The sequence below is a fragment of the Homo sapiens genome, chromosome 2, assembly GCF_000001405.40.
Source record: "Homo sapiens chromosome 2, GRCh38.p14 Primary Assembly".
Classification (NCBI taxonomy): domain Eukaryota; kingdom Metazoa; phylum Chordata; class Mammalia; order Primates; family Hominidae; genus Homo; species Homo sapiens.
In genome coordinates this window covers 46069204-46087815 of record NC_000002.12, presented here as the reverse complement: position 1 = coordinate 46087815, position 18612 = coordinate 46069204, and the positions used below count along the sequence as shown (strand labels likewise).

General features: G+C 44.0%; 1 protein-coding gene across 18 annotated transcripts in view; it reads right to left on the bottom strand.

Moving 5' to 3' along the window:
* PRKCE (protein kinase C epsilon) overlaps positions 1–18612 on the bottom strand; it is a 536712-nt gene that overhangs the window by 100175 nt on the left and 417925 nt on the right. For all 18 annotated transcript variants that reach the window (XM_005264428.2, XM_011532980.4, NM_005400.3 and 15 more), the window contains one exon: positions 1454–1608. In XM_005264428.2, the coding sequence (XP_005264485.1) occupies positions 1454–1608 (155 nt within the window). The remainder of the gene's footprint in view (positions 1–1453; positions 1609–18612) is intronic.

The following is an 18612-nucleotide window of genomic DNA, read 5'->3' as shown; positions in this document are numbered from 1 at the left end:
TGAAAGATGAGCCCAAACTGCAGAACAGAATGCAGCCTGGCTGATTCCTCAATCACAGCTTCGTGATACACTGACCAGGGCATGTAGGTAAGTCATGCCTGGACTCCTGACCCAATGGAAACTGTGAGATAATGGATGGATGCTATTTGACACCATTCCGTTTGTGGTCACTGGATATGCAGCAATAGAAAACAAATGCGTCGATTCCCATGGCAGAGGGCCATGAATGGCAGGCTAGGAAGTATGGACTTTATTATATGGGCTCTAGGAAATCACTGACTAAGGAAGCTAAGAGATGGCAGAAGGAAGGGAAGCCTGGAGTGGGGTTGACCAGAATGCCTTGAAGAACATCTGGCCAGGGCACTGCTCCCAGGAGCAGGTCAGTAACGTTCACACATTCAAGGGTTAGGACCTGGATATCTTTCAGAGGAGGATTGTTCAACCTACCAACCTTTATATAAGGCAACTGAAGCCCCAAAAGGGCAGAGACTTGTCCAATGCCACACTTCCAGTTGGCAACAAAAATCAAAGATCCAGGTCTCCTTTCTGTCCATTTAGGCTTCTTCCACTAGACCAAGATGATGTCCATACTTGGTTTCACCAAGTTCTAGGTGAAACGAAGCCAGCTACTCCTCTACCCAATTAAAAAAAAAAAAAGAATAGAATAGAATAAAATAAAATAAAAAAAGAAGAAGCAAAGACCAAGTGAAGAAATTAACAGCCATTGAGAAAACCTTAAGGAACTTGAGTATCCTTGTGGCTAATTATAAATATTTACTCCTCCCAGAATTCCTGACCTCACAGAAGAGCCTTTGTAGTTTTGTTCTCTTCATGGAAAATCAGTGTGCGCGTGCATGTGTGTGTGGACGTGCGTGTGTTTCTTGGAAGGGGAGTGGGCAGTAATAAAGGATTGGATGATCTGCAAAAAGTAACTTCCTGTTGGATATTGTCTAGTTCCCATTCCTTGTTCCCCACCCAAGATCATAAACCCCCAGTCCCTCAAGCAACTCCTCCTTCCCTGATTCTATCTGCTGGAGAAAACTAAGCCAAACAAACTCAGGAAGTGGCAAGAGACTAGGAAGGGGAGGAAGTTCATGGCACAGAAGAAACACGTAAAGAGAATGCCCTGATGTTCAAGGAAGAGGGTGGAGGAGAGAGAGAAAAACGAAGGTCACACCAAGGTCACCTGGCACCAAGCCTTTAAAATGTCATGCTTGAGCTTTAAATCAAAACTGGCACAAACAGTGGGTCAAATCTCCCAGGGCCATTCAAATACTAACATTCACAGGAATAAACAGCCCCCAAAAAAGTCTTCTGTAAGCAAATTGGAACAAACAACTAATCTAAAGCAGGTTGCTAAGAGACGAGTGGGCAGGAGCTGAAGTCAGTTCAAGTGTCTGAAGCATCCTTTATTTTCTTCACTTTCAGGAAAGAGGAGGAGAGAAGAGGCTACCTGTAGATGACTCCATGCTGGTGGAGGAACATGAGGGCCGATGTGACCTCTGCAGCATAGAACCGTGAACGAGGCTCGTCGAATTTTCGGGAGCGCTGAATCTGAAACATGAGGTCTCCACCATTTACATATTCCATGACGAAAAAGAGGCGGTCCTGAAAGGAGAGAAGAAAATGCCATTTGGGTCATTTGATTGCAGCTGCCCACACAGGCCAGCTTAGTGTGAGCTCAGTGTAAGGTTACCAAGACTCAAGGGGGAAGAAGCCTCAAAGGTGGGTGAATCCTGGTAGCACCTGATCCATAAAGAAGACAAACGAATAAAGCACACAGATTAGGGTATGAAGCACAATTTTACTTTTTCTCTGTCCGCCTTCGGTGGGCATCACCTCGGTCTAGTGGAAGAAGCCTAAATGGACAGAAAGGAGACCTGGATCTTTGATTTTTGTTGTCATCTGGAAGTGTGATCTTGGACAAGTCTCTGCCCTTTTGGGGCTCCAGTTGTCTTTATATGTGTGGTAGGTTGAACAATCCTCCTCTAGAAGATATCCAGGTCCTAACCCTTGAATGTGTGAATGTTACCTTATATGGCTAAAAAAAAAAAAAAAAACAAAAACAAAAAAAAAAAACGGATTTTGCAGATGTAATTAAGTGAAGGATCCTGAGATAGGGAGGTTATCCTGGATTACCAGCGTGGGTCTTAAATACAATCATAAGTGTCCTTATAAGAGGCAGGTAGAGGAAGACCTGAGTCAGGGAGGAGGAGGCCAAGTGGCCACAGAGGCAGAGATTGGAGTGAAACAGTCACAAGCCAAAGGATGCAGACAGCCCCAGAAGCTGGAAGAGGCAAGGAGCGGAACCTCTGGAGGGAGAACAGCCTAGCCAGCACCTTCATGTAGGCCCAGTGATGCTAGACTCTTGGCTTCCAGAACTGCCAGAGAATACATTTCTATTGTTTTAAGGCACCAAGTTTGCAGTAATTTGTTGAGGCAGTCCCAGGAGACCAATAGATTGCAATGTGGAATCAAGACTGTGAACCCCCATGCACTGTGAGGGCCACTTTTTACTTTGGAGGATATTCCTTCCAGGATCCCCTATGGTTTCCTCCTGCAAGGCAGCCCTCAGAACGGCCAAACCACAGTCACACCTTATTGTAGGTGGCCCCCTCTTACCTGCAATCCATGATGATGTGGGGAGAGGATGGACTGACATTCTCTTTGCACCGTTTCTTGACTATTATATTCTAAGCTCCTAGGGTGCTAAGCTGCTAGGTGAGGGCAAATAATTACAAGCCATTGCTGTCCTGGGGAGCTTACAATCCAGGGGTGGAGATGGGAAATGGACAAAATGATAAAAAAACAAAATAAGAGTCGAATGCATGAAAGACACCAGGTGCTAAAAAGATTCAGAGAAAAAGGAGCTCTCTGACTTGGGAGGCCATGGAGGATTTTAGATGCAGCTAGGCCTGGAGAGAAAAAGAAGGTCGGGGGCAGCAGGAACCAATGCCAGGACATGGGAACGGAGTGAGCAAGTTTAGGGGCCAGTAAACTGACCAGATCAGTTGTAGAGGAAGGTTAGCGAAGTAAATGGTGAGGTTTAAAAGGCCAGAGAGGCAGAGCACATTCTTTTTTTTTTTTTTTTTTTTTTGATGGAGTCTCGCTCTGTTGCTAGGCTGGAGTGCAGTGGTGCGATCTCAGCTCACTGCAACTTCTGACTCCCTGGTTCAAGCGATTCTCCTGCCTCAGACTCCTGAGTAGCTGGGATTACAGACACACACCACCATGCCCAGTTAATTTTTTTATTTTTAGTAGAGATGGCGTTTCACCATGTTGGCCAGGATGGTCTTGATCTCCTGACCTCGTGATCCACCCGCCTTGGCCTCCCAAAGTGCTGGGATTATAGGCATGAGCCACCGTGCCCGGCTCACATTTTTAACACATAGGTATAGTCTAAGTGAAGCTTCCAGGAGGATGTTAGCATATTATTTTCCATTAGGTCTCAGTAACATTTACCAATGAGCTTCTTTATTTACAAAGCATATCTATCTTACTATTGACATCTCTTTGAAAATAAAGTCCATAGTTAAGAATTGTTACTAATTCAAACTACCTTCACCCCCACTCCAGTCTCCAGAATTATTCCATCTTTACCGGTATTCACAAAGGGCCTAAGTCCAGCTTTTCTTCCATTTACTTTGCCCTTCGCCTTCAAAGCCTACCTCGTTTTCTCCCCAGAGTACAATTTTGTAATCAGAAGTACATGGGCTGCCTTGCCCACTGTTTATTCAATCATCCATTCTCCACTCAAATCCTCATTTCAAAAATTAAATGCTCTCGCCAACCCCAGACCACTGGAATCAGAATTTCTGAGGGTGGGGGCCTGGCCTTAGTAATTGTGAAAGCTCCTCAGGTGATTCCCATGTGCGGCCAGGGTTGAGAAGCACTGACTCTCCTCCATCTGGTTTCTGCCTAGGTATCTTGCATCTGTGCAATATAAGGATTATACATTATTCTGGTCTCCTTTTTTGTCATTTCAAGGATTCCTTCCAAGAACAAAGACTCTTAAACTTGTGCATTAGAATCACATGGAAGCTTGTTAGGACATGGATTCCTGAGCCCCCCAACTCAGATATCTGGTTCAGAAGATCTGGGGCGGAGTCTGAAAATCTGAATCCTCTAACAAGTTTCCGGGCAATGCTGGCAGGCCAGGGACAACACTCTGACAGCCTCTGCCCTGCAGCACCAGGATAAGCCTTTCACATGGGAAGTACAGCTGGATCATTCACTGAACACTGAACCACACCACCTGAAACAGCCACTGAAGTGCCCATTCCACAGTCACCAGCCCTGGACTCGGACTTTAGCAACAATGGAGTATTTCCTTGACTGTGTTTAGGAGACTCCAAATCTCTGAAGGGGAAAAAATCTCCCCTCCCCATCATCCTCCCTGGATGCTTTTTATTCTACCAACACTGGACACAGTTTTTAAGAGTAGGGGCTGTGGGATGAGAAAGAGGCCTTCCCATATCGGTTTTATCACTCACTGGCTGCAAATGACTCAGGCAAATGCCTTTGGCTCTCTGTGCTCAGTTTTCTGATCTGTAAAAATGAGGATGGGCCGGGCGTAGTGGCTCATGCCTGTAATCCCAGAACTTTGGGAGACTGAGGTAGGCAGATCACTTGAGGCCAGGAGATCGAGATCAACCTGGCCAACATGGCGAAACCCTGTCTATACAAAAAATACAAAATTAGCTGGGCATGGTGGCGCATGCCTGTAATCCCAGCTACTCAGGAGGCTGAGGCATGAAAGAGAATCATTTGAGCTCGGGAGGTGGAAGTTGCAGTGAGCTGAGATTGCGCCACTGCACTCCAGCCTGGGTGACAGAGAGAAACTCCGTCTCAAAAAAAAATCAGGATGATTGAGTAATAGAAGCTGCCTTACAGAATTCTCATGAAGGTTAAATTATATGTTAAAATGCCTGTCTCAAAATGAAGATTGGCTATGACTGTTGCTATAGATGCTATTCCAGCAGTTATTATCGTAAGTCTTCATTTTCTTTGACCTCTCTGCAGCTTTCTTCCCTGACCACATCCTCTTTCAACACACACTTGTTTCCCTTGGCTTTCAGGCTTCCCCCCTAAATTTCTGGCAGGGTTTTCTCTGCCTCTCTCATGGGCTTCGCCTCTTCCCAGCTGTTAAGTGTTGGAATCCCACGAGGCTGGGCTCCAGATGCTCCCCATCCTCACTGAGTGCTTGCTGAGGATCTTGTCCACGCCCAGTTTCCAAGGCACCTCTATGCAGATGACTCACAAGCTCCGGACCACTCATCCAACTGCGGTTCTGACATCTCCATCCAGATGCCCCAAAGGCACTCAAGCCCAATATGTCCAAAATTGACTTCACGATCTACCCCAATGAACTAGTTCTCTAGGTCTCGGGGCAAAGCTTCACCCTTCAGAAACCTTAGTCATTTAATACCTCTCTCTCCCTCAGCCCTCACCAAGTCCTGTCATATTTACTTATCGTATCTTTGCATTTTGTACCTTTTTCCCTGTATACTTGTCCATTTCTCTCTCTCTCTACCACCATCATGCCCACCATTATGGCCCAAGCAACTATCATCCCTTGTCTAGATTCTTGCAGATGCCTTGCTTCTGATGCTCCCCACATTTATTGCAAATGCTGGTCACGCTCCAGGTAGAGGGACCTTGCCGAAACAGAAATCTGCTTGTAACCCACCCCGCTTCCTCCTCTAAGTCCACTGCTTAGTTTTTTTGAGAGTCTTGCTCTGTCACCCAGGCTGGAGTGTAATGGTGTGATCTTGGCTCACTGCAACCTCGCCTCCCAGGTTCAAGTGATTCTCCTGCCTCAGCCTCCCGAGTAGCTGGGAGTAAGGCAAATGCCACCATGCCCAGCTATTTTTTGTATTTTTAGTAGAGATGGGGTTTTGCCATGCTGCCCAGGCTGGTCTCAAACTCCTGACTTCAAGTGATCCACTCACCTTGGCCTCCCAGAATGCTGGGATTACAAGCATGAGCCACCGTGCCCAGCCTCTATAGCTTGATTCTATTAAAGTCTCCCTGTTACTCTAGGAATAAACGGAAAACTCTCTAATATGCTTCAAAGTCTGTGTGATCTTCTCAGTCTTCTCCTTTCCAGCTGTCGCTTGTTCCCTCTGCCCCAGGGCTTTACTCACACTGTTCTTTCTGCCTGGAACGTTTTCTTCTCTCCCCTCCTCACCCTTCAGATCTCAGCACAACCATCTTTTCTCCCAGGAAGCTGCCCCTGACTTCTCTGACAAGGTCAGATCCCCCTGTGACGTGCTACACTCTCTGTTGTAGCATTCAGCACAGCTGAGGTTTTATTTGTGTAATTAATTTATAACTTTCTCCCCTCCCCGCCGTAGTCTGTGTGCTTCATGAGGGCAGGAACTGTTGGTAACTCTGGCTTGCTGTTTTTTAAGGGAATTGAACTAACCTGAAAGAGAAGTTGTTATAATCTCTTTTAAAAGCAAACACCATGTGAATAGAAGAACAAAAAAGGTTAGGGGGCTATAAGAAGCAAAGAGTGATCTAAATATTTATATCTGCAGGCCAGGTGTGGTGGCTCATGCCTGTGATCCCAGCACTTTGGGAGGCTGAGGTGGCAGGATGGCTTGAGGCCTAAACAACATACCAAGACCCTGTCTATACAAAAAAATTAAAAAGTTAGCCAGGCATCGTGGTGCACGCCTGTAGTTCCAGCTACTTGGGAGGCTGAGGTGGGAGGGTTGCTTGAGCCCAGGAGGTGAAGGCTTCAGTGAGTTGTGATCGCACCACTGTGCTCCAGCCTGGGCAACACGGTGAAACCCTGCCTCTAAAAATGTGTGTGTGTGTGTGTGTGTGTGTGTGTGTATGCATAACTGCAAATTCTTACTGCTTAGTTAAGTTAGCTAGTTAAGCCAGCCTGCTGCCGTGAGCCTGTGTCTGCAGAACCTGGAGCTGGGTGCCCACTCTCACCATTTCAGAGGGTCTGTCTATATCAACACCCCAGTATTTGGTTATGGACTTGAGTGGTTCTTTTGTTCTTTGGATAGTTGTCTTCACTTCCCAGTGAGATGTTCAGCTCCTTGAGGAACACACTTATTCTTCCTAGCAATCCCAAGCAATACTAGCTCCAAACTCCATACCTGAGGAGGTGCTCAAACAAAATCTGCTCATCCAACCTTCACTCCAGGGAGCACCATGAGAGGAGGAATTTTTGTGGCTTTAGTTCCTTACTGTAGTCCAGCAACTAGAACTGAGCCAGGCATATAGTGGGTTCCTATTATGTCTGCGTCAAATGCCTGAGTTCTTGAACACCCACCATGGACATGGTTCAGATTGCTAGAAACTCAAAGGTAATCCAGAGTTGGTTTCCCCACATCATTTCTATTGTAAAACCTCATCTTGAGCTATTCTCACTTTAGCCCATTTTGAACTTTAGTTTTAACTTGTTTTCTACTCAACAAAGCTCCATGTTCATGACCCCAAAGCACGATCAACTCTTTTTTTACACATTAAGGGTGTTTTAAAGCAAGGTAAAATTTTCATTTCCCCTCACTCTACTGAGTCTGCATTGTTTCTGACCTCCAAATCTAACACATTTGAGAAGCATGTTTTGATGCAGGGTGAGAACCTCAAGTCATTCTGAGAACTGCTTAATTACGTAAATGAAATCAAAAGAAAGCTGGCAAACCCAGCAGCTACTCATTAATCCCCTCTTGGCATGGGTAGAAAACAAAACAAAACAAAACATCAACTTCCTGGTAAAGTAAGCAAATACGTTTTCTGAGGTAATCAAAGATTTTAAAAGCCTTATTCCACCTCCTCCTCCCTTAATCTCACCTGAATGTCTAAAAAGTTACGGTCTTGTGATAGCAAGTAAAATAATAAAATTAGGAAAGAGATTATGTGTCATGGCCATTTAGGGTAAGAATAGTTCATAATGACCTACTGGCTGGAAGAACCACATCGTGTGTTTGAAATTCCCATTGGGCTCCATTTTCCCAGAGCGTTAATCTTTCCTGTCTTTGAAGAGAAAACTAGGCCTGCCCTGTTTGCCTTTCAAGGTGTGACGGATAGCCAGAGGCTTCTCCTTAGCAGCAGTTAGGTTTCTTTGGACACACAGATTCTCCATCACCTGTCAGCTGTTTATACGTGCAAAGATTTTATAGCTCTTACATCGATTTCACATAAATGACCAACTAAAGACCAGGCTTGGAACAGCCCATACTTGATATGCTGGTGACAGCATGAGCAGTTTCTCCAATGTACCATATAAGGAAATTGTGGGTCCTAACTTCACACTCTGAAACATCTTCTCCCCTCCATGTCTATATCATCTAACCTATCAATTCAACAGGTCTTTCCTGGGGGCCCAGATTTTGGGTAGGTGGCTGGGGGATATAGAAGATGATATAAGCCATGGCTTATGTTTTTCAAGAGCTAGAAACTGAAGACAGGAAATCATGGAAAACAACACAAAATGCTGTATAATTATGTGCTAAACTCTCCTGTATCCAATCAGACTGTGAAGTCTATGCATCTGGATTGTATCTTAGCACCCCCTAGAGAATAATCATCGCTCATCCAGGCTTTATCACTTAGAGAAGATCATTACACAAAACAGTCCTATGGAAAGTCCTATATTTTCTTTTTTTTTTTTTTTTTGAGACAGAGTCTTGCTCTGTCACTCAGGCTGGAGTGCAGTGGCATGATCTCAGCTCACTGCAGTCTCCACCTTCGGGTTCAAGCAATTCTCCTGCCTCAGCCTCCCGGGTAGCTGGGACTACAGGCACACGCCACCACACCTTGCTAATTTTTGTATTTTTAGTAGAGATGCGGTTTCACCATGTTGGCCAGGATGGTTTTGATCTCCTGACCTCGTGATCCACTTGCTTCGGCCTCCCAAAGTGCCGGGATTACAGGCGTGAGCGACCGTGCCCGGCCAGAAACTCCTATATTTTCTATAGTACAACTGGTGTGTGAAACTGACCACTGCTATAGGAATTTGTTTCAGATAAAGCTGAACTGGGGCAAAGACTACACTTGAGTAAAATCTTGAACAATGTGAGTGGGAGGAGGAGAAGGCCTGGCAAATTAGAAGCACAACCTTGAAGGGCAGAGGTAAGCAGAGACGAAAATCACATGTGGGAATGAGGAAGGTAGGTGTGAGCTCAGTAAAAAAACTGTCATTTAGGAAACAGTGCATAGATCCAGGACATAGGTAGGAAGGAGACAGAAAAGTGCTTCTGAGAACATAGGTGGGAAGTAAAGAACCCTAAAATCTTATTTTTTTTTTTTTTCAAGACAGGGTCCTGCTCTGTCACCCAGGCTATAGTGCAGTGGCATGATCATAGCTCACTGCAGCCTTGAACTCCTGGGCTCAAATGACCCTCCCACTTCAGCCTTCTGAGTAGTTGAGACTACACGCATGTGCCACCATGTCCAGCTAATTTTTTTTTTTTTTTTTTTAGAGACAAGAGTCTTGCTATGTTGCCCGGGTTGGTTTTGAACTCCTGACTCCTGGCCTCAAGTGATCCTCCTGCCTCAGCCTCTTATAGTGCTGGGATTGCAGGTATAAGACACCACGTCCGGCCCCTGGAAGTTTCTGGAGTTGTAAAATGGCATCAAGTTGATTTTAAGGAAAACTCTTCTGGAAGCAGAGTTCAAGGTGGATTGGAAGAAGGCAGCCTGAAGTTATTCTCTCTTCCCCATTTCCATTGTCCAAAATGTTTTATTGTCTTTGAAAAAGATAAACAAGCAATCCTCATTCCTCACTACTACACTTCCTTGGTAGAAACACAATAAATATACAGCCACTTTGGAGAACTTCACCAAATCAAATTTATTTCCCCATTTCTGAATGTTAAGCCACAAAGAAAGTACAACCATCATTAGAATAAATGAAAACAGTAAATAATGATGAGTGGGACTTTCCAGCTCTAAAGTAGACAGACTATGTGTGAACTACAGGCAGAGCCTTGTCTAGTCAGTGTCCCAGAACTTCCAACTCTGTATTTCTAGAAGGTCAGTGTGGGTAATAGAAAGAAGGATTTTTTTTTCTTACTGGGGACTTGCCTGTCAATTCATACAGAATGAAAGAGTCTCATCTGAGTAATAATTATTTTTAGTGATGTCAATGTTCCTATGTAATAATAACAAAAATAACCACCTTAATGATGTTTAAAAAGTCATTTTCACATGTTTTCAGCCCTTATTCTACTAGGCCTTCACCCCCTGCTAACTCCCATTGTTCAAAGCCATACACAAGTATGTAATAACCTTCTTGTGGTCTTTCTCCAAATTCAGAGTTATCACAATCAAACTCCTATAGCAAAGGCCAATTCCATCCACACCAGTTGTAAGATGGAATATATAAAATAGGTTTTCACATGATTAGTTCTTTTCTTTTTCCTTTTCTTTCTAAATGCAATGCTGTATATTTATTATTTTCTTTTTTTAAAACTACTTTTTGAGGTCTGGTTGACATACAGAAAGCTGTACATATTTCATGTATACAACTTGATAAGCTTGGAGATGAGTATACACCCATGAAACCATCACCACAATCTATTCCATAAACACATCCATCTCCTCCCAAAGTTCCTGTCCATTCTTTTTATTATTATTATTATTATTTTGGGTGTGCGCGTGCGTGTGTGTGTGTGTGTGTGTGCACGAGAAAGAGACAGAGAGAAAACATAAAATCTGCAGTCTTAGCAAATGTTTAAGTATACAATACAGTATTGTGAAATTGGCACTATGCTGCCCAGCAAATCACTAGGACTTATCATCATCCTTCATAACTGAAACTTTGTGCCTTTTGGTGAACACCTCCCCGATTCCCCCTCCACCAGCCTCTGGAAACCACCAACCTATTCTACTCTCTGCTTCTATGAGTTCGACTATTTTAGATTCATCAGGTGAGTAGTATCACGTAGTATTTATCCTTCTGTGTCTGGGTTATTTCACTTAGCATAATATCCTCCTGTTTCATTCACATTGTTCCAAATTTCTTTCTTTTTTTAAGGTTAAATAATATTCCATTGCCTGTAGACATGGTTCTTTCTTATAATGATTGTCTATAAGCCAGAGAGGGTAGAGTCCATCCCACTTTTGGTAAAAGGGGAGATGCCTTTTTTTTGGAGAAAAGCCTTAATTCAATCACAGTTGGCCAAATGGTAAAAACTCCACTCTATAGTCTGCTGGTTGAGAAAGTAAAAATTTCATTCACATATATCTGATATTTGTTCCCAGTTGCTTAAAACTATGATTATTTGACTTAAACAGGATACCCCAAGTTTAGAGTGACCTAAAGCTGCGCCAAACTGACTCACCCAATAAAACTCAAATAAACATTTCCTGCCTCTAATTAGAGTTGCTTATCCCAGGGAATGACCTCAAATTACCGCCACCCTGTCCCACTCACTTCCATCTGTGTGTGAAAGCCACGGGAAAGAAGAAAAGTTTTGGTCCAATAGATCAGAGAACACTTTCCTTTTCCAGGGGTCATCAACATCTTAGGAAAAAGAAGTTTTTATCACATGATATGACAGCACAAATGGAGCAGCCCCCAGCTAGGCTACATCTCGTTAATGCTGACCACCAGAGCGATCTCCTGCCACGAACAATAGCAGCATCTAAAGTTAAGCAGGAATGGTGTGTTGTTAGTTTCCTCTTTGAAAATGACAGAATCAGGAGGGTTTTAGAAGGGGAACCCAGCCAATAGAAAGCACAGTGGTACTGTTTTGCAGAGACTCTTTCTTTTCCTCCATTGCATGACCAGCATCAATGTCCAGGCTGAATCATCACTTTCCAGTATGCTGGCTTCCTCCTGGTTTCGCCCCACTGGTTGCTTTCTCTATCAATTGCCATTCGTGGGGCATGGCTTCTGGCTACTGTCCTCTGTCCCTGGCTGTTCACCTGGACTTCAGAAAAGCTGGACGGCTTCAGGAACCTTTGCTTCAGGCCTCTACCCAATGCTGTGTCCTGATCATCTTGCAGAAGTTTTACGCTCCAGTCTGCCCATTCTGGCCAAGAGGATGCCTTAGTCAAATCCCTTTTTGATTCTATCAATAATTTATCTATTTATTTAGAGACAGGGCCTCACTCTGTTGCCCAGGCTGGAGTGCAGTGGCTTGATTTTGGCTCACTGCAGCCTTGGCCTCCCAGGCTCAAGCAGTCCTCTCACCTCAGTCTCCTGAGTAGCTGGGACTACAGGTGGATGCGACCATGCCTGCCTAATTTTTCATATTTTTTTGTAGAGAGAGGGTTTTGTTATGTTGCCCAGGCCCAGGCTGGTCTCAAACTCCTAGACTCAAGCAATCTGCCCACCTTGGCCTCCCAAAATGCTGGGATTACAGGTGTGAGCCACCACATCCAGCCAAGAAATAACTTAAATAGAAATCAAACAACAGGTTGCTCACTGGCACCTGTTGCCACCAGTAGCCAGCTGTTTGCGGCCGAAGTTTAGGACCTATGAAATATTTCTTATAAGATTTTTGAGCGGGCCGGGCACGGTGGCTCACGCCTGTAATCCCAGCACTTTGGGAGGCCGAGGTGGGCGGATCACGAGGAGATTAAGACCATCCTGGCTAATACGGTGAAACCCTGTCTGTACTAAAAAATACAAAAAGTTAGCCGGGCGTGGTGGTGCGTGCCTACAGTCCCAGCTACTCGGGAGGCTCAGGCAGGAGAACGGCGTGAAACCAGGAGGCGGAGCTTGCAGTGAGCCGAGATCACGCCACTGCACTCCAGCCTGGGCGACAGGGCGAGACTCCGTCTCAAAACAAGAAAAAGAAAAAGATTTTTGAGCATAGAAATGAAAGTATTCTTGTTCTAATCCAATTTCCCCAACCCAGCCAAAGCCCACATAATGCCTTGCCCTCTACCAATGCTCTTCTTGTGAGCTCAGGCGATTCCCCACGATCTGGTGTAGGGACTGCATGAGACTCTGCCTGTTTCCCACATTTACACCTTCCTGTGTCCCAGGCAGGACATAGGTGGCTAACAGCTGGTGCTCAAAACACCCCTTGTAGATCCCCATCTGTCCAGGCTCAGTGCACGTGCAGCTCAGTAAAGAAGAACTCAAAGCGTCTCCCTGGTCTCCAACCACTGATGCTGGAGCTGGGCCTCACACAGAACCTACGCAGCCCTCGTGGCTGCCACTCTGATTCCAGAAACTCAAGAGTCACCTTATCAGTTCCTGTACCAACAGAAAAAGCAAAACCTACAGAGGTCATGCTGGAGTTCTGATTTCCAGGAGGCTCAAGTACTGAATACTGCAGTAAATAAAACCTGCAGTCCTGGGGTAGGTCAATCCTTGAACCATTTCATTGTGGCTCCTCCTGCTGCTATTGTTGTTGTTGCTGCTGTTTTTTCTATCCGTGTTTTTCTTTTTTTTTTTTTTTTTTTGGTTGTTGTTGTTTGTTTGTTTGTTTGCTTGCTTAATTCTACTTAGAAAGAAATCTCGCTGACTAACCAGGGGATTAGAACATGCCCACATCGATATTAAAATGACCAGCCGATTCAGGGAAAAACAATCAAGGCAACTTTTTTCAATCTCATGTATATAAAACCACCAACCTGTTTACTGACTCCTTCACTTTACAACCAGCTGTCAAGACACAATGATTCTTTTCTTACCCTTTTCTTTCCTAAGAATATGCAAAGTTCTTGTGACTGTTTTAAAGATAAGCAAATCAGGCCAGGAAGCTGACCCCCCAATAAACAGGCACATCAATATTTCCCTTCAATTGTGGGAAGGAACCATAACCTGCTTAGATGGAAATATTTAGGTTGCTCACACTACACAAAGAGAGGGAAAAAAAGCTGCCCCCTCTTACCTTTCCTGCTTGAGTATAGCAGCCAGGACTGATCCTACCTCTAAGAGATGACACGTGAGAGCATCTGTTCAGCTTGCAGACCTGATGATACGTGCATAGCGTGGTCTGTGCAGCAGTTACTCAGGTATCCAGTGAAACAGTATTTCTCCACTTGGAATACTGGAAGGACGGTGTCTCTCTTCCATCCCCAGATGTATTCATTTACCAGGACGTGACTCATGCCTGGTAAATTCAACCACACTGACATTTTCCCTTCCTGATCTGCCACGGAGATTTCTGTCTGCATCAGTTTGGGTCCCTGATTAGTCTCAGAACAGTCTTCAGTTGAAGCAGGACAGAGCCTGGAATGCAGGAAGCAACCGCTCCTGCTGCTCCTGTTGGGTTCTGCTGGTCAGACCACACGGTCAGTGTGGTGTCAGACACTGTGCACTACACTGAACGCTGACTGAGGGCAAACAGGAGGGCGAGGAGAAGCCAGGACCTCCGAGAAGCAGCTGAGGGAAGTGCAACAGCCAGCCCCAGTAAATCCAGTGTTAGAGGAGACTGGCAGTCTGAACTGAATGAATGGGCAAATAAGTATCAGACAAAGGACAAACTGAAGAGAAACTCTTAAAATATTTGAAGGATTTCCACATTGGAAGGAGATTTGGTCTGTGTCACTGCAAAGGGTCAAACTAAGCCCAGTGGGTAGAAGTTACAGCAAGGTTCCTTTGATTACACTAGAAGAAAAACCTCTAGTAACTCCAATCCTCTGTGCAACATCGGACCCGTGCTGCCTTGTTCTACAATGAGTTCCTTCCAACCTGGGGGATGCTGGCCTCGGCTGGATGTTCACTTTTGCAAGGCTGTGAACAGAAATACTCTTTGTTCACTGAGAGGCTGGACCAGATGAGCTGGTGGACGTTTAGAACCCCTTGGTAGCATTTTAAAGCATCCAGATTTCCAGGCCCCTCTATCAGAGCTTCTGATTCTGGGGTGGGCCCTGGGAATGTGCATTTATTTTTGAATTCCCCAGGTACTTCCTACTGATGAGTGGGGTTTGGGAACCAGCAGATTAGGCAGCTGCTGGGGTGCCTTCTAACATGAACATTTGGTGATTCTACTGCATTTTTCTCTGATAATTTCATGTGTTGGTAAATCTAACTAAAGAGTCATTTCTTGGACCAGTGGCTTTTAGTCTTCTATCCCAGCACACTGATGGACAAAGTGCACCCCCATCAAAACCATGGCTTCCTACAAGAGGTATCTCATGGAGTTCCCAGGGCCATGTCTCCTGTATCTGACCATGTCTCTACAATGCCTAACACCATACTGGGCTTATGTGAGCCACTCCAGGAATGCCTAGCATTTAAAGCATTTACTGTTTAGTTGATACTATGCTGTGTTGGGTTTTCATAACTGTAGGGTCATATGAAATCAAATTGAGGACCTGAAGGTCCCGACCGTGTTTAGATAGCTGTGGTTTCACTCCATAATTGCATTTCTTGTCCCACTTGGCTGACTTTTAGTCTTATAGACATGTTGTTGGATTCATATGCATGGCTGCCCAGAACCAAGTAAACCATTTCATGATGGCAAGAAAGCGTGGTTGACATCTCCACTCTGCTAAATCCCCTTTCATGTTCTGACTGCTTTAATAAAGCCGAAATTAAAATGTGCTAATCCGGGGGAAACTGGAAACTTGGAAATAATACACTAACGTAAACATACAACTCAATCCCATGGATTCTGAACACTTGATCACATTGTTTTAAATCTTAAGTGGCACAGCTGGTGGCTGAAGGCACGCTGAAGAGGATTTCCATACCACTTCACTAATACTTTCATTTGATGACAGATAAAGCGTGAAAGGGTTTTTTAAATTATTAAATTCTTTGATCTCCATATTTCCATTCAGATTTACTCTGAACACTGAGCAGTGTGGTGAGATAAACTTATAAATATTTGCTATAATAGCGCGGGGTCTTCTGTGAAGAATTGTTGAACCATTGTTGTGCTGTCGGAGGAAGGTGCTGAATTCCCGCGTGTGTTTAAAATACACGAGCGCAGACTCCAGTCTACACCCTGTAGTCCGCATTAAGCAGGCATAGGTAGCTGTAGGAGTGGAACAAAAGCAGCCTGTGTTTAATCTGTTCACAAATCTTTTGTTCCTAAATACTTGGAAAGGTGGTTAGACCAAGTAAGGGAGAGATTCAGGACTGGGTGGAAGCTTTGATTTAGACTGATGGCTGACAATGCAGATAGGAGGCTGGTCTCTCTAAACACATAAATTCGTTATCTAAACAGAGTGGGTAATGTCACAAATGCCTGGGAACCTAACTGAAACAGTTCATGATTTGACTGTAGTCAGTCCCTGTTTGGGCACTCCTTCCATGGACGTTTTTAAAGTTTCCTATAGCTTTCCTCATCCTTCATTCTCATTGGTGTGGTATAGGGGTCCAAACTTGGCCTTGGAATCCTGACTGCCTGGGTTAAAATCCTAGCTCAGCTGCGTGAACAAGCTGCATGAACTTGGACAAAAGGAAATGCTGGTTTCCCTATTTGTAAAATCGAGATTCAATAGTAGCTACTTCATGGAAAACTAAAATAAGGTGTCTTTATTGTAGCTGCCTACCCCTTAAAAATTGCTCAGGAAAATATTAGTTCTGATTTTTCATTCACTAGTCTTCATTCAGTAGCAGCCTATGGCTCCATGATAAACAAATTTCAAATCAGCTGACTAGTACATATTTATAGAGGACTTCAAAAAGGCTACAATCTCTTTGGAGAGATGAGAAACTCCAATGAAATACGTTAACATTATTCGATGGTATTTTATTATTTGGAAGTTTCCATAGAAGAGTGGAGATTTAGGGGGAAGGTGTCAAAATGAGTAGGGTGTGGGTTTTCTGGGTGCAGGAAAGCCATGAGGACATGGGCATCTCTACGCATTTGGTTTACTTAAGAGAACAGTGATGAGACCTAGCTGTTTGGAGCAAACCATCTCCATCTTGGCCTTTTTGTTTGCTTAGAAAATGATAATCTAAGGCAAATGAGAGGACATAATTAACAAGTAAAGAGTAATCATGGCTATCATTTATTGAGCACCTCCTATATGTCAAATATAAGCTACTTTTCCATTGATGCAAGAATTATGAAAGCAAATGTTAACATCCACATTTGACACAAAGATACAGAGGCTCAGAGGAGTTGACTTGCCCAAGGCCATGGAACTAGTAAGTAGCACAGCCAGAATTTGACCCCGTGTCTGTCCCAAAGCCAGGGGCTCTTTCTGTTACTCCAGGAGTCACCCTCACCATCATTCAATAGAGCTGTCAATAAAATGCCACCTTTGTTTTTGTTTTTGTTTTTTTTTTGAGACGGAGTCTTGCTCTGTCGCTAAGGCTGGAGTGCAGTGGCATGATCTCAGCTCACTGCAACCTCCACCTCCAGGGTTCAAGCGATTCTCCTGCCTCAGCCTCCTGAAAAGCTGGGACTACAGGTGCATGTCACCACACCTGGCTAATTTTTTGTATTTTTAGTAGAGACAGGATTTCACCATGTTGGCCAGGATGGTCTTGATCTCCTGACCTCGTGATCCACCCTCCTTGGCCTCCACAAGTGCTGGGATTACAGGCATGCGCCACCGCGCCCAGCCATAAAATGCCATTTTTTTATACATCAAAAATGAAGGTGCTTGAGGCTAACATTCAAAAATGTGTATTGAGGGTCCACACAGGAAGCCTGTGCTCTGGTTATATTTATAGAGGTGGTCTCAAGTCTCTAGAACACAAAGTCTCTGCTACCTCGTGAAGGAACACAACAGTTCTCCCTGTGACCAAAGGACCCTTGCCTTCTTTAGAGTCAACCTAGAGTCCAGGTGAATACAATGTCATGTCTTTCATACAGTGGGCTGCTTTGTAGCAAACTCCACCATCTGGACGTCACTGTAAATCAGTAAGAGAGAAGAGGTCCTCTGAGCAGGAAAAGAAACACTAGCACCAGGACCCACGTGCTACTCAACAGCAGAAGTGAACACCATGTGTGAATCTGTCGGCTAGGTACCACTTTGTGGTTCTATCAGTAAAATTCAGGTTAGGATTTCAACCTTAAGAAAATTCCATTCTTCCCAGCTTAGGAAATAAGGGAATAGGTGACCGCTAGAATTGCCCCAAAATTGCCAATCTGGAACTATTTAAAGCAGGAATAGCAATCCTAACATCTTATAGCCCTTCTTATAGCCAACTGTTACACCAAAGTTGCCAAGAAAAACTAAAATAAGATTCAAAAATCTTTTTACCAAGACTTTAAAATTTGTGCTAATTTTATTATAACAGTGATGCTATTGCTATGAATGATTATGCAATGATTTAGTTTGGAAATTTTTTCCATCAAAGTGGTATACTGATTTATAAGGGCCCATATAAACTGTGTAACATGGAAACCTGAATTTCCTGATAAGTGCTAGATAAATGAATGGAATCAAAATACAGGAAACTGATTTTTTAAATGGTTAGAAAACATATGAATGACTTTTATGTTCTAAACTCTAAGTACCCTATAGTTGTTCTTATTGTTGATTGGAGTATTTTTTTTTGCAAAGTATATACTTTAAAAAATCCTTACTTACAGAAACATATTTTAGACGCATACCATATCAGAATCCAGAAAAGGCCTACTGACAGCCTTCAGAAACCACTTCAGAGAACAGTCATGTAATTTCAACTTCAATAGTTAGTGACTGGCAATTTGGAGATATTTCACTTTCCAGGTGGTGAGCAACAGGTAAGTGAGAATACAGCAGAGGCTACCACGT